The 16700-nt window shown below is 40.2% G+C and overlaps 1 protein-coding gene across 29 annotated transcripts in view, besides 2 other annotated features; it reads left to right on the forward strand.

Annotated features, from left to right (window-relative positions):
* Nucleotides 1-16700, forward strand: part of RBFOX1 (RNA binding fox-1 homolog 1) — a 2473620-nt gene that overhangs the window by 1610635 nt on the left and 846285 nt on the right. The gene's annotated exons all lie outside the window — the stretch shown is intronic.
* Nucleotides 10642-11458: an enhancer, noted in NCBI's record as "OCT4-NANOG hESC enhancer chr16:6910998-6911814 (GRCh37/hg19 assembly coordinates)". NCBI's record gives its function as "activates a minimal SCP1, AML or CMV promoter by ChIP-STARR-seq in naive and primed H9 embryonic stem cells {active_cell/tissue: H9 hESC(naive and primed)}" and the evidence as "EXISTENCE:reporter gene assay evidence [ECO:0000049][PMID:30033119]".
* Nucleotides 12713-13296: an enhancer, noted in NCBI's record as "OCT4-NANOG hESC enhancer chr16:6913069-6913652 (GRCh37/hg19 assembly coordinates)". NCBI's record gives its function as "activates a minimal SCP1, AML or CMV promoter by ChIP-STARR-seq in naive H9 embryonic stem cells {active_cell/tissue: H9 hESC(naive)}" and the evidence as "EXISTENCE:reporter gene assay evidence [ECO:0000049][PMID:30033119]".

The raw sequence follows: 16700 nt of genomic DNA on the forward strand, positions 1-16700 counted from the left end.
GTAGTTGGGAGAGAACCCTACTTAGGTAGGTTGGTCCTGGAGGGCTTCTCTGAGGAGGTGATGTTCAAGCTGAGGGGTAAAGGATGACAAATGAGGTTTGAGTTGAGAGCTTATCAGGAGACTGATTGCCTAAGGTACAATAAGAGAAGAGATGGGAGAGGAAGTTGGAGGAAGAAACAAGGCCAGATCTGTACCCACACAGCTAAGATTATATCCCTACTGGCCTTAACAAATTAAAGCACTTCTTCCCATGCCTTCCACAGATGACTCCTAATGTCATTCTTTTGCAATATTTCTACCTTCTTTCATTTTAACTTCCGTTACATATAGCTATGCAGAAAAAAAATCAATTTGTTGGCTAAAATAAAGAATAGTGACAATACCAAATGCTGTCAAAGATCACTCAAATATTGCTGGTGGGAATGTCAAATGACTTAATCACTTTGGAAAATCATCTCTCATTTTCTTGTAGAACTAAGCATGCACCTCCCATATAATTGAGCAATTGCACACTTGGGCATTTATCCCAGTAAAATGAAAACACATCCACAAAACAACCTGTATGCAAATGTTCACTGCAGCTTTATTTGTAATAATAGCTAAAGACTGTAAATAGCCCGTATGTTTTCAGTGCATGAATGGTTACACTGTGATAATCCACACTGTGGAATACTATGTAGCAATAAAAAAGAACAAATTATTGATGATAGACACACAACAACTAGGATGAAACTCCAGGGTGAGTTTCACTCCCTTGTGGTGAGTGGAAAAAAAGCCCATTTCTAAATCATTTTGTCCAGTCTCAGCAATCATTTTTATGTATCTAAAGGTTACATACAAAATGATACCGTGTATGTAGCATTCTTGAGTTTAAAATTCTAGATATAGAGAATCAATGCGTGGTTGCCGGGGTCAGGAGTGAGAGGTGTGGAGTGACAGTAGGGTGTGGTCATAGAAGGCGTCTTTTTGTCTGTGGACTATTTTTTGTCCTGGCTGTGATATTTATAGTTTTGTCAGATGTTACCCCTGGAGCAATAAGAGTAGAGGTCATGGGCTCTCTGTATATTACTTATTAAATTACATGTGAATCTACAGTTATCTCAAAAAGTTTAATTTTTAAAATTCCTTCATATAACAACTTAGAGTTTGAAAGATATTCACAACATATTTTACATATTAAATTTTTATTTAAATATTTGTGTTCTCCTCTGCCAAATTGTAAGAGCTTTCCCCTAAGAGATCTTGTCTTAATTATCTTTACATGCCTCCTCTCAAGCCTCCTGTTGTCAGGGAAAGAACAAGGCTCTAGGGTCGAGAAGACATGGGTGAGATAACAATTTCAATGCCAGGCAAAGGACTTTGGCAAATTCAGAGCATGATTTGATAAAGACTGGAACTCACAGGCAGAAGGACTGGCAGGTGGCACCCGGACCCTTAACTCCTTCCTCTGGGCATCAAGGCGCAGACATGGATGATGCCCTGTGTGCTTGCATTCTAGAACAGGGACACCACTATCCTTTAGCTGTATTTTTTGGGGGGTTGGAGAGTACGGTGTATTAGTTTCCATTGGGTTTTTTTTTTTTTTCTTTTTTTGAGATGGAGGTTCGTCGCCCAGGCTGGAGTCCAGTGGTGTGATCTCGGCTCACTGCAAGCTCCATCTCCCGGGTTCATGCCATTCTCCTGACTCAGTCTCTTGAGTAGCTGAGACTACAGGCACCTGCCACCACGTAACTACCACAGATGTGGTGGCTTAAAATGATATAAATTTATTATCTAACAGTTTTGGTGATCTGATGTCTGAAATCAGTGTCACTGGCCTGCAACCAAGGTTTTGATAGGGCTCTGCTTTCTCTGGAGTCTATTCTTCTAGCTTGTAGTGGCTACATGACTGCAGTCTCTGCCTCTGTGTTCTTGCTGTCTTCCGTTCTGTGTGTGCCTCTGCGTCTTTCTTTTAAGGATGCTTGAGGTTGCGTGTAGGGCCCTCTGGATAATCCAGGTTGATCACCCATTTTGTGAGCATCAGTTCAGTCACATCAGCAAGGAAACTATTTCCTTACAAAGTTTATAAGTTTCAGGGATTTTTGACCTGAGATATCTGAGTGGCTATTATCTGGCTTATTAGGGTAAGTGTGAGAACAGTCTTACAAGTAGGGAACAATTCCTTGTGTCTCAGAAATTAACTTTGGCGAGATACATGGTGGCAACTAGCTGTCCAGGAAAGGTGCATGTTGGAAACTAGCTGTCCAGATGAGATGCATGCTGGGAACTAGCTGTCTGGGAGAGGTACATGCTGGGAACTAGCTGTCCAGGTAAGGTGCTTGCCTAGGTGAGGTGCATGCCAGGAAATAGCTGTGCCAGCGAGGCGTGGGCTGGGAACTAGCTGTCTAGGTGAGATGCATGCTGGGAACTAGCTGTCTGGGAGAGGTACATGCTGGGAACTAGCTGTCCAGGTGAGATGCATACTGGAAACTGCTTTCCAGGTGAGGTGCATGCTGGGAACTGCTGTCCAGGTGAGGTGCATGCTGGGAACTAGCTGTCCACACAAGGTGCATGCTGGGAACTAGCTGTCCATGCAAGGAGGATGCTGGGACTGTGTTGATGACATCAAGAGACCATGTGAGCCCAGCACCCTATGGATGGACAATCTCACTGGCAGAATTGGAACAGCTGGTCCCAGCTGGCTTATTGCCAGGCAACCCAGAGACAGCCTCTGGTGTTACCCTTCACACAGTTCTATCCCTCCCTCCATATATACTACCTAATGATTGTGCGAACTTGGGAAAGCTGCTTAACTTCTCTGAGCCTGAGTTTCCTCCTTTGTAAAAGGAGACTAATACTGGTGTTTACCCTTAGGGCTTTTGTGAGCATTAATGATAGTATGTATAAGGTTTGTAGTAAGTGCCATATAAATGTTGGCTGTAATTATTATATTCTTGTTTTTGATATTGTTTCTATGAGGATGGTGGTGGTAGTGGTGGTGGCATACCTCTGTGCATTGTAGCATACCCTAAGGGTTGGCTGCATAACGTTGAATTTTAGTTCGCAGAGTTACTGATAGTGCCTGCCCCCAGCCATTGGGCTTCCTGGTTTAAAAGGCAAATCATCCTGATGGAGGATGGTGCCTACAGTGTGGTGCTCGAGGACAATCCCTGTCTGCTTGGGACTCTGACAGTGGTAGATGCTTTCAGAATTTGGGTTATGAGTGATTGAGGGAGGTTAGCAAACGGATTCCTACCTCCTTGTACTGTATGAAGCAGTTTGATGGGATTAATTTGCATGGCCCATAGTAAATGCTCTCAGCCTGTATGGAGGCTAATTTGTGAACCTGTAGCAATTTATCACCCTGGTTGGATTCGTTTACCAGTAGACAATGTGATTGGGATAATGCGCCTCACTGTGCGTGGAGAGGAGCTGCACTCTGACCTCACTTGAAGAAACCACCGAGGGGTAATTTCCTCCCCAACGGATGACTGACATTACAGTGTGGTGACAAATGATGAGTATGGTAAATGGTTAATATAGCCAGGGCCAGGATCTATATGATTTATGCAAATAATTAGCTCTTCCTGGGTAGTAGCCTGCATGTCTAGGTAACTTTTATTTTTTCAGACAGTCATCTCCGTAATGAGCTATTAGTCTGCAGGCCAGAAAGAAAGAAAGGTAGAAGGAAGGACAGACCTCAGGCAGTTAAGTCTTTGTTCCTTCCAGAAATCCTATTTATTTAAAGCTGAGTGTGATAATGTTTTCTTTTACAAAACTCCATTGCTCTGTATTGTAAAAGCAACTCAAAATATGAGTGTCTGACGTTTATTAGTTTCAATAACGGTTTCTGGGGTTTAGACAGAGCTTGCATTCATCTTCACTGAGTTCCATTAACACGGAGGGACATATACCATTAGCACCATTTCCTAGTTAGAGAATGTAAGGAAAGATGGAGGATCAATATGACTGTATTAGGAAGGAGTCTTTGGGTACAAATTATGGAACCTATGAAGAGGAAAGGGCTTAAGGGGTTAATTATTAAAAAGCTTATCTAAGGAATATTTTATATAAATATAGGATGATCTGGGAAGCTAAATTGATGGAAATTCAATGGCATGTTACACCTTGAGGGCTGCCAGAAATAGGAAGTTTAGCGAAGTTGGGACTTTCTCTCAGGTTACCTGTTTTGCCTGGCCAACGACATCTTCTGAACCTCACGCATTACCTCCCTGCCAACTAGGAGAGGTGAATTTTTTTTTTTTTTTTTTTTTTTTTGAGACTGAGTCTCGCTGTTTTGCCCAGGCTGGAGTGCAGTGGCGCTATCTGGGCTCACTGCAAGCTCCGCCTCCTGGGTTCAAGTCGTTCTCCTGCGTCAGCCTCCCGAGTAGCTGGAACTACAGGCGCCTGCCATTGCGCCCGGCTAATTTTTTGTATTTTTAGTAGAGACGGGGTTTCACCATGTTAGCCAGGATGGTCTGCATCTCCTGACCTCGTGATCCGCCTGCCTCGGCCTCCCAAAGTGCTGGGATTACAGGCGTGAGCCACCGCGCCCAGCCGAGGTGAATAATTTTTTTATTCTGGTTTCTATATGACAGAGGAGAACTTTGATCACCGAGATTAGAATCCCTTGTTAATGCTTGGACTAATCTTTGGTGGCAAAGGAGTCAGTGCCACCTAAGGACAATGTTTCACTGTTGGGAGGTGGGTGGGAGGAGTAGGTCCTGAGAGGAGAGAGTGATGATCCCAACAGAAGAGAAGGATGCTATGTAGGGAGTTGACAGATTCCAGCACTATACTGTAAATTCCGTGAGTGTGTAGCTATACGTGTTCTGGTGAGCATGATATCCCCAGTACCCAATATAGTACCTGGCAAAATGATAAGCATGCAGTGAACATATGCATGAGGAAGGGAGGGAGGGAGAGGGGGAAGGAGGGCAGTCAGCATTCTAGTATACAGGTCTGAGATAGCCAAGAAAAAGCAAGCAAAATTTTCAGCAGGTAGTCACACAAAACAGAAATAAGAAGAGATCTTGGCCGGGCGCAGTGGCTCACGCCTGTAATCCCAGCACTTTGGGAGGGTGAGGCGGGCGGATCATGAGGTCAGGAGATCGAGACCATCCTGGCTAACACAGTGAAACCCCGTCTCTACTAAAAATACAGAAAAAATTAGCTGGGGGCGATGGCAGGTGCCTGTAGTCCCAGCTACTGGGGAGGCTGAGGCAGGAGAATGGCGTGAACCCGAGAGGTGGAGCTTGCAGTGAGCCTGGATCGCACCACTTCACTCCAGCCTGGGCAACAGAGTGAGACTCCATCTCAAAAAAAAAAAAAAAAGATCTTTTAACTCTGGAGAGTTATCTCAGCGATCGAAACCTTGATTGCACTTCCTAGATTTATTGGATTCATTTAATTGCGCAGCCCTTGGAAGTTTTATCCTCTACCTTTAGAGGATTTGAGTGATAAATTTCCTTCTTCCCTTCCTTCCTCCTTCCCTCCCTCCTTCCCTCCCTCTTTCCCTCCCTTCCTTTCTTCCCTGCTTTCTTCCCTCCTTGTCTCCCTCCTTACCTCCCTTCTTTCCTTCTTTCTTTACTCATGCACATATTCACTTCATGGGCTCTGTCATTTGTACCCAAAGACTCCTGCCTAATACAGGCCTATTGATCCTCCATCTTCCCTTATATTCTCTAACTAGGGAATGGTGCTCATGGTATATGTCTCTCTGGGTTAATGGACCTCAGTGAAGATGAAATGAAGACCCTTCCCTTCCCTTCCCTTTCTTCCCTTTCCTTCCCTTCCCTTTACCTTCCCTTCCCTTTACCTTCCTTGCTTCCTTTCCTTCCCTTCTTCAAATGTGTATTGAGAACCAGATACTGTGCCAGCCACGAGAAACATCTGAATCATCAAGGCAGCCTCCATCTGCTCAGATCTTTTTAGTAGGTGTTTTATTGTTGAGTATGATGATGTAGGAGTTCTATTCCCAATTCATATTGTTTTGAAGCCACGTCTGAATTCTGAGTAACTAGGATGATGAGTAGACTATGTCTCCTTGGAGTCCCTGTTTGAGGCTAGGATTTAGGTGAGCAATCCTGATCCCACTCAGGAGACAGCAGGACCACCTGAGCCACTGACCTTTAAACCCAGGATATAAAGGTTATCATTGCCCTCTAGAAATATCAAATTGGTAAGAAAGGAAAATGCTCCCTCATGAATGTTCATCAAAGAGTGTTTCCCATCAGGTGATATTCTGTCCCTTCAGGCCACCGTGGAATTCATTAAAGATGAGAAGACAGTGATAAACCACCTCTTGTGCAGGAATATTTATATATTCCTGTATTCTTCAAGATGTTACAAATTCCATTTAATAAGTAAAGTGGTTATCTCAATCACAAACTACCATGAGGCAATAATGATGATCCATTTGTCAAAAACCGCCACTCAAGCACTAAGGAGATGTGTGTAACAGTTGGCATTTTAAGCATTGCGATTGTCAAACCACTGATTGACAGATCCCTTAATTGTCAATTCAGATAATAATAATTCTGCTGCAAAATGTTAGAGACAGAGAAAGGGAAAAGAAAGAAAGAGAAAGAGAAGGAAAGAAAACGAACGGAGGGACATGAGAAGAAAGGGAGGGACAAAGAGAAGGAGGACTTGAGATAAATATTAGACATGCTTTGGAGTTTTTCAATGGCTTACTGCAAATCGTGTTCAACCCCACATCATTGCTGGCTGGTTGTCTTTCTTATTTGTTGTGAAGTGATTGCTTCAAAAACCCTGACACAAATCTCTGTAGAGTGATTTTTTGTGTGGTCAAGAATTTTGTGATTTTAAAAAGACTTTCAGGTTCCTGCTGATTTGGGACTTTGGCTCTCTCTACGCTGATATATAAATCATATTACACAATATTGATAACTCCCCAATCTCTAAATAAATCGCAAACTTATTAGGAAGAATCCCAAAGAAGAAGTCAACACCTTTACTGAAGAACTATTTAAAAAGATGTATGGGTAGCATCTAAGTGCTCACGTTATTCTTAGTGAATCAGAGGTCTCCATCCTACGAAGCATGGGAGAGGTCAAATCCCATGTACGCCAGCTGAAAGAGTTAAGCCATTTTTCTATTTACATGGTTTATTTCACAAGGGTCTGACTCATTGGGCATAACCAGCACAGTTAAATTTCAAAATTACTATTTGGTCCTTTTTTTATTGACTACAATTCAAGGCTGCTTCAAGCCTCCCAAATTTAATCGCCGTAGCTCTTTGCCAAGAACATTATGTTTTATTTTCAGTGTTAAACTGTGTAAGATGCCCCTAAGGCTACATGGAAACTTACTCTCTGTGATAGCAGCTAACGGAGTGTATCAGTTGTTCATGATTTCCCATTCTCCTGTAAATTGGGAGAGGCAGGGAGAGCAGTGGAATGCGAATTTTGTTCTGTCAGCACTTTCTTGCCCCAGCTTTAGCCCAAGCAGTGCCTGTTTTGGTAATTAATTATAGTGTGTTTGTAGCTCTTCATGCTCAGTTACCATTTAGCAACCTGTCAAATCCTGAGCTAATGAGCCTATCCCACAGAAGTCATTGCATTTACTTTATTTTATTTTTAAGCATCAAGACAATACTGGTTTTTCGTAGGTCAGATGAAGTTGAGAGGGAGATTCTAAACCAGCATATGGAAAAGGCAAGGCTTTTCTCTTCTACTCACAAATGTTCATCCCAAGAATGGCCTTGCTTAAAGTTTTTCATTGATGTTTCTCTAACTAGAAATTGGAGTTATTAAATACAGTTATTAAAATACAGTTATTAACGTGACTGTAATTTAATATTTGAAGGAAGAAATAGCTCACTCATAAGTGTCCTTTTCAAAGTGTTGTTGGTAAACGAAGGTTGAATGGTTTTGAGATTTATCTCAAATGATGAACTACACTTTGTAGGGAATGTTTCAGAGGTCTTCCCTCTCTGTGTTGAGAGACTAGATTAGGATATCTAGCTTAGGATTTTCATCTAAAATACAGGAAAAAGCAGAGCAGATTCGTGATACTTTCCTCTCCTTGTTGGTTTTGTGTTGTTCTTTCTTCTTTAATTGTGGACTTGAAGGAGTTCCACAATCTCGTTATGGGAAGGACTTAGGCATAGCACTTTGGTTTCCGGGCAGAGGTAGAACATACTCCTTGAAGCTGCTTTTGTATCACGCTTGCTTGTTTTACTTAGAATCGTACGGTTACAGCTCAATTAAAATAGCAGAGTTTTCTGAGAATGATTTCATTCTCTTTATGTGAGACTCAGACGATTTCATTTAGTTTATATGAGACATATCACTAATCTCTACTAAAAAATAGAAACAATAATTTTATGGAATTACATATCAGAATATGAGTGTTCAGCTCAGCCTCTTTATGGAACAGTGTATACCAAAAACACATCTTTATTCTTAGTTGAAAGTTTTAGAAAACCCAGAAATTAGAGCAGTGGCATTCGCCTCTGCTGGTTAGAAGTATAATCTTCAATTCAACATGCAAAACTCAGACTCGTAGCTATTTCTGAAGCTCAGCTATAACTACAGTATCATGTGGTCAGTAAGTTCTGCATTTCTAAAGGAAGATATTATTTTCACTGTCAATCAAAGGTAGGTAAAAACACATGTACACATTTTAGCTTAGCTGACCAGGTCACAGGGATGTGTACCTGTTTATGTATAAGTGCCAGGACTGAGGCTGGAAGGAGGAATTAAGTTATGCTCCCTTAATACCATCAGTGTTGTATTGTCCTAAAAAAAGTGTATATATATATATATATACATATATATACGTATATATATATGTATATATATACGTATATATATGTATATATATGTATATATATATGTATATATATATATACAAAAATTAGTTCCTCAATCCAATAAGAACATGATTCTGACTCTTTATAAAAATGACTCCTCTTGAATATTATTTGTTCCCATCTCATTCGTTGATAATATCTATTATATTTTTATAAGAAAGAGTCAAAAATTCTATGCAAAATTCTCTGTTCTCCTCAAACAGATGACGCTTTTGCCCATACTTGGCTCTAATATCATAATTGATTTTACTTGTCAGCTCTCTGTTCATCAGAGAACTTGATAAGCAGAAGAACAGTTGCTCACTCTTGTTCAAGTCTACTGCCCTAATGCCCATGGACCTGCAAATTTCCCAAATGTGAGTGGTTTTTATGCTGCCTGTGGAAATCTGAATTTAGATGAGCCACACTTTGTAGAAAATGCTTCAGAGATCTTCCTGCCGCCTCTCTGTGTCGATAACCTCCATGGAACTGTGTTTGTGAGATACTCAATAATGGAACCATTTAATTCAAATTTTTTAATCGACTACGGTATCAGCAAAATGAGAAATGTCTTTCACCCTTGATCTTTGACAATAGCAGACATGTTAATATGAAGTTACTGCTAAGGCTCCAAAAGGCATTGATACAAGTATATTTTTTCTGCCATTCTTGTTTCTTTATAGAATCACACTTTTGAGTATTCAGAGCTTGCTTTTCCTTTGAGTTAGAGGAATGCATTGGAGAGAAGTGTTATTGATGAGGGCTGATTAAGCAAATTAATGAATTGAGACAGCTGAATAGTAAGTGAGAAGAATTTGAGGAGTGGAATTGGTTTTTGCTCATTGACTGTAAAGTGTAGGAGTTAACACCACAAGGGTACCTGATGGAACGAGCTATAATACCGAGGTAAGTGAAGAGAGAGCATTTGGAATTGTGTACTATTTTTCCTCTTCCAATGAATAGCTGTGCGCTAGCTGTTCACTGCTTTCCTGGCATATGTTTTTCTTGCTTCATTTTCTGAGTCATCTGCAATAGCGGAAATGAATTCATTCAACAATATATATTGAATGCCCGTTATGTTCCAGACACAATGTTAGGCACTTAATGGTACTTGTGGAAATACATTATTTAATGTCTGATGACTAAATGTTCTCAGTTCTGATGGAGTCAAGTGTTTTTGGCTGGGGGTGGTAATATTTGGGAAGCATCTTGGAAAGCATTTGTTATTTCAAACTCTTCAAATCTGCAAGTCTTACAAAACACTACACGTTGGCTAAGACGCGGGGGCAGCGGGCGCTCTACCGTGCTGCTGATGGAAGAGTATATTGATGCACCTGCTTTGGCGCTCACTTTAGTAACATCATGGGACATTCAAGATGCATGTAGTTTTGAGATATTTCATCCCTAAATGCACACATGAAGGAGACACATAGAAGATTCATTGTGGCATCCAAGCAAAACATTAGGAAGACAACAATCAACCAGACATTAATTGTCCACCAATAGGGAAATAGAAGATAAATTGTAGCAAAAGTCATGTCTGGTGTGTCATGTTAAAATAAATAAATTAGATCTCTGTGTGCCAGTGTGGATAAATCTGAAAACCATAATGTTGAACAACAACAAAAAGTAATTTGCAGCAGGAGACATACAGTATGACATCATTTATGTACAGTTTTTGGACACAGTAAAATGTTTTCAAAAATATATAAATGTATTCAAAAATAGATATTCCAAAATATACATTTATATGTATTTATATATGAATGTGCCCAAAAATATATATTCTCTTGGGGTCTATGCATATATGGTAAAACGAGATAGAGCTATGTGGGAATGATACACAGTAAGTTCAGCAGTATGCCCACCACTGTTAGGGAGTAGGGGAGCGGTTGTAATCTGCGAGAGTGACTGACAAGGATTCCATTATATTTGTTATATTTTATGTTGCAAGCTGCGGGGTGGACATACGGCATTTGCTCCAGCATCTTCCGTATTTTTTATATGTCTCATGTATTGCATAAGAAAAAAGAGTGCATCTGAACAGCTACAGTTACCGCTGTGTCTGTGTGTATTTGCATGCTGAGTTTTTTGAGCACCACACTCTAACCATAGTCTTTGCAAAAGGGTTTTATACAAAAACAAGGTCCCTTTCGAGTGCATTGTCTTGGTAAGATTGTTAAGGGCAGATGAGTAAAGAGATGCAGTACCCTCAATCTACAAGACAAAAGATGGACCAGTCAAGCAGTTCCCTAATGTCTTTGATCAATGTAAACTGCTAATTGCAAGGCCTGACTCTCTTTTCCAAAAGGAATGATTCCCCTCCCAACCCCCTCCCCCCCCGACTCAATTACAAGAATAATTGCTTCAACTCTCAATGTTCCTTTAACTGGGCACGTTCAGTGTTAGCATCTTAGGCTCTCATTTCATATGAAAGTACTAAGTTGTTCCAGTAAACAGCCTCTACATTGGGTCTTTATGTTGCAATATTACAGACTTGGCATGCAACCTCCTCTATTTTTCACTGTGTATAATGAGGTCAAATTCGTTTTGGAAGGCCCGGAAGTCTTCAGGATTTACAGCTATTTGAAAACCCTATTGATAATAAGTATTTGGCCAAAGTGTTTCCACGTTCATACACTCCCCCTCTTTCCTAGCCAGCGTCCCTTGGTTTTTTTTTTTTTTTTTTTTTGGTTTTTTTTTTGGTCTAGCTTGCACTTTCTCCCTGCCCAGAAATGTCGTTAACATTAACAAGAGCTCTCTCTGGCACTGGCAGGGGGTCTGCAAACAGAACTGGTTTGGAATATGCAATGGGAGGCTTGAATCAAAGAAAAGCTGTGATACAGACTGTGGAGTGTGTAAGACAAACTCGATAAGCTCCAGTCAATACTGTCAGGAAAAATCACAGCAAAACTGATTTCGATGAGAAGATGTCATTGGGCTGTGAGGGATACTTGGAAAGGATGCTTCAGCAACAATAACAACAAAAGAGTTTTTCATTTAGATTGTGAAGGGCTTGCTGTGTGTGTCATGTTTAGGGACATAAATAAGTACTGACCCTTACTCTAGAGAGTTATTGCACATAAGAAACCCAGAGTCCTAGGCCACCTCCAGAGATTTTAATTCTGTAGGTCTGGAGTGGAGACTGTTTGCCTTGTGAACAAGCTCACAGGCGATGCTGATCGTGCAGGTTCCTGGAAGCACATTTTGAACACCAAGGCCCCAGAGCAGGTTCAATGAAATGGAGGAAGAGAGTCAAATAAAAATCCTTTCATTCGGTGCTATGGGGATGCAATGGCAGAGTTATTAGCAATATTACAGTTACCTAGGAAAAGGAGCAAACAGCTCTGCCTTGCCCAGGCAACCAGCAGAATGGAGGTGATACTTAACCAGCATCTTGAAGAGTGAAGAGATTTCCAGGAAGAAAAGAGAGTTCATGTTACAGGCAGAGGAAGTGACATGAATGAAGTACAGGACACAAATGGAAAATGAAAGTGGTTTTGTATGAACAGAGCTGGAGGTAGAATTGGAATCATCACAGATGCTGTTTAAGAATTGTCTGTGGCTCACACCTGTAATCCCGGCGCTTTGTAAGGCCGAGGCTGGTGGATCACCTGAGGTCAGGAGTTGAAGATCAGCCTGGCCAAAATGGTGAAACCTCGTCTCTACTAAAAATACAAAAATTAGCCAGTCATGGTGGCCGGCACCTGTAATCCCAGCTACTCAGGAGGTTGAGGCAGGAGAATCACTTGAACCCAGGAGGCAGAGGTTGCAGTGAGCTGAGATCACGGCACTGCACTCCAGCCTGGGCGACAGAGGGAGACTCTGTCTAAAAAAAAAAAAAGGAAGACAGGCCGCAGCTGATTTTTGAAGGAATTTGCAGAGTCCTTCTAAGGTGTTTGGTACATTATTCTATGATGTATGGTGGAGAACAGTGGAAGGATTTTTACAGATTATTGGTGGGAGAGTGGATGAAGAGAAATTAATAAGCAGGGGATCAAAAGTCTAGGTGAAAAAACAGGAGGGCTTGCCTGAATTACTTTTTGGAATAGAGAAGGACATGGCACAAAACATTCCAACCTAAAGGCAAGACCCTCAAGGTTGGAGACGAAGTATCTTCTGGATGCAGACTGGGAAAAGTGATTAGCAGCAAATGGTCAAGATGAATGGGTAGAGACAAAACGTGGCTCACCAGGAGGGTGGTGACTCACTAATCTTCAAGAATGTATGGCTAAAGATTCAAAGCTCCTTACTAAAATTTAGAAAAGGCCCATAATGGAAGGAACTAAGCAAGTTTTGCCTTCTGCTACCTCTGAATTCATTATGTTGCCTGTACAAGTAGAACACATAGCAGGAACTGTGTTTTAATACTAATTACAATTATTTTCTGGTTACATAGATAAATGTAAATAACATTAAAGATGTGATCTGTTCCTGGACGCCATTTTTATCTTCTTTGTCAGAAGGAGGGAGAGAGAATGGCATCAAAATACCAAGGTTCTGTTTTTTTTTTTCCTTAAAAAAAAAAAAAGAAAAAAAGAAATGACCGGAAGCACAAATTGGATGCCTGCGCTTTTTTTTTTTTTTTTTTTTTTTTTTTACCAAAACCAAATACAACCTTACAGAGGTAATAAACCTTGTGATACAGTCTCAGGAGGATGTGCTATGAAAGGAGCCAAATCAGGTAACCAGAAACAAATACCAAGTTCTTTACTGGTATTTTGAATGTTTATTAAACAGTTACCAATCCATTGCCATTTGTTTCCTTCACACTTTGTGCTCCCTCCTTCTTCCTTCTCTTGCAAAATCCTCACAACTTCTTCTGTCTTTATGTTCCTTTTTTTTTTTTTTTGTTGAGATTATGCCTTGCAAAACCTCTAATTAACCTGCCTAGCAAAAGCTGAACCTTCTTCAGACTACAGGGAGAGTAGCAGAAAAAATAAAAGTGACAAAGAAGAAAGCGAAGGAGTCTCTTTAGCAGGAAGAAGGAGGGGTCATTTCAGGGAAATTATTTTAATAATTCTTGTCCCATTACATAAATAATTCACTTTTTTCTTCTATGTCACTGTATTCCTAGGGTTCTTCTCAAAGCATAACTCTTCCACATTTAGACACGTTCAAAAATAAGAAATTAGAGAACACACTTCATTCTTTCCTTATCCTATCCAGTTATTTCAAGACAAACATTTGAAAAACAATAATAATTTCAGACTGCAATAAAGGAAGGCTATTTGTTTTACTTTTGCAGGCACAGAAATTTTGTGAAATCACCAACAATTCAGAAAAGAAATGACATCATCATGCCCGAAAAAGTATAAATGACATAATCTCAAATTAACACATAAAAACGTTAATTAAAAATTTAGTTTTAAACCCCCCTATTCTCTCCTTCCTCTTTTTTTTTTTTTTTTAATCATGGCCTAATACATCAAAACAGGCTGGATGTGTCAACGGCAGGATATTTGAGAATCAAGGATCTGATTCAAATGTTTTATTTGTTCTTGATGGAAAATTCCAAACTGGCTTTTAAAGCCTTTCAATAATGCATGGAATCCTGAAGAAAAAGTTGCTTCCTAGAAGATGTTGCTCTGTTCAACCTGTATTTTTAAGTGTCTTTTTCCTCTAATGTGGGTTTAAAAACAATAAGGAGAGACATATGCTACTTGGGTATTTTGTTGAGGCCATTTCCCTTTTTTTATCTGAGGTCATGTGAATGGATACTCATCAAAACAAGAGGGGCGTTTTTGGTTTCTCTTTTTGCTGATAAATCGAAAACACAAAGGTCAAAAATAAGCCCTGTTCCTCAATCCCAGTGCCAATGTTGGAGTGGGTTTTTCTTTTTCTTTTTTTTTTTTTTTTTTTTTTTTGAGATCGAATTTTGCTCTTGTCACCCAGGCTGGAGTGCAGTGGCGCGATCTTGGCTCACTGCAACCTCCGCCTCCTGGGTTCAAGCAATTCTCCACCCTTAGCCTCCCAAGTAGCTGGGATTACAGGTGCCCACCACCACTCCTGGGTAATTTTTGTACTTTTAGTAGAGATGGGGTTTTGCCATGTTGGCCAGGCTGGTCTCGAACTCCTGACCTCAGGTGATCCACCCGCCTTGGCCTCCCACAGTACTGGGATTACAGACGTGAGCCACCGTGCCCGACCTGGAGTGGGTTTTTTAAGTACTTATAATAATTACTTGAATAATATGTGTTCATTGTAGATAACATGAAAAATGCAGAAAAACACAAAGAAGAAAAATCATTTCTAATTTTACCAGTGTTTATCATTAGTGTGTGCCATGGGGATATTTCCTTTCTAGCCCCACACACCCAGGCACCTTCTTGTTTTTTAACATTTATTTAACACATGGTTAATGACTTGCTACTATGCTGCAGGAATTGTATCAGGTGGTAGAAATACAATTTGTATTAATTGTAGATAATATTTTGTGATACATTATTTTTTAATTTAATAAGATACTATGGACTGAGATGTATTCTTCATGACGTGTGATGACAACGTAGTAATCCCTAATTCCTTTAGTTAATAAGTTCATTTTACCTTCTCATTTTGCCTCTCATTTGCTATTTTATCACCTTTCACAAATAGGTTTATTTGTTGTTATTTTTTCCTGCTTTATTTGTAAGCAGTATTAGATAACAGTTGCACACGGAGAATTTTCAGGTACAATTAACTTCTCTCTTTTTTGCGTGTAGGCTTATTTCTTCCTGACAAGTCTTTTGCCTTCTAAGTAACTTAGTGTTGAAACATTACATGAAAAAGCCACCTCATTTGGTTCTTGCACAGTAATGTCTAAATCACATAAGAAATGCATTGAAAAAAACAATCGGGGAAAAAAGAGGGAGTAATATTGGCTAGCACATCTTTGAATGCATCTGGAAAGAAAAGAGTAAATCAGGATTGAAATAGAAGCCAAAAGATGATATTTTTATGGAAAATAATTCCCCTCTCCTTTTCTTTCCCCAGCTCTTTTTCTATCTAATATGCATTTTTCTTTATATTATAAAACAGCTTTGCTCACCTTATCTCTGGTAGTTCTTTATTACTTCAGTGTCTTCTCATCATTTTTTAAGGTTCTGGAAATGTAAACTACTTTCCTACCACTTTTCATTTTTGTGGATAGGGTGGCTGATGGGCTTTAAGTTTCAAGCTATGATGAAACAAGGAAATAGATCACTTCTTACAGTGTAATAATGGAACTCTGTTGATGGGTCTAATAAAGAAGAAAAAAAATCAAACCTTATCCATCATCTCCATGACTTCTAGTGTCTTTCCCATCTGCATCTTCATGTTAAGCAAAAAATATATAATGCAAAAAGTGTGTTTCACAAAGGACTTTTTTTAAAAAAAAAAATAAGGTTAGGGCTTTCTTTCCTTCTATTTTTTTTTTTTTTTTTTGAGTTGGAGTCTCGCTCTGTCCCCCAGGCTGGAGTGCAGTGGTGCGATCTCGGCTCACTGCAAGCTCCGCCTCCCCGGTTCACGCCATTCTCCTGCCTCAGCCTTCCGAGTAGCTGGGACTACAGGCGCCTGCCACCACGCCTGGCTGATTTTTTTGTATTTTTAGTAGAGAAGGGGTTTCACCGTGTTAGCCAGGATGGTCTCGATCTCCTGACCTCGTGATCTGCCTGCCTTGGCCTCCCAAACTGCTGGGATTACAGGCAGGAGCCACCGCGCCCAGCTAAAGGTTAGGGTTTTCTAAGGTTGTAACTTTTGCATGTGTATTACTTGCCACACAAAGCATCAAGATAAGGAAACCAGCCCTTATGGGTCCTTAGCTTCATGACAATATCTAAAGGTCATACTGTTTTAAGCATACAGAAAACCCTCTAGTCAGAGTCTGTGTTAGCTGTTCTTTAAAAAAAAAAAAAAAAACTTCCATGTCTTGCTATTATTA

Source organism: Homo sapiens, chromosome 16, assembly GCF_000001405.40.
Source record: "Homo sapiens chromosome 16, GRCh38.p14 Primary Assembly".
NCBI lineage: Eukaryota > Metazoa > Chordata > Mammalia > Primates > Hominidae > Homo > Homo sapiens.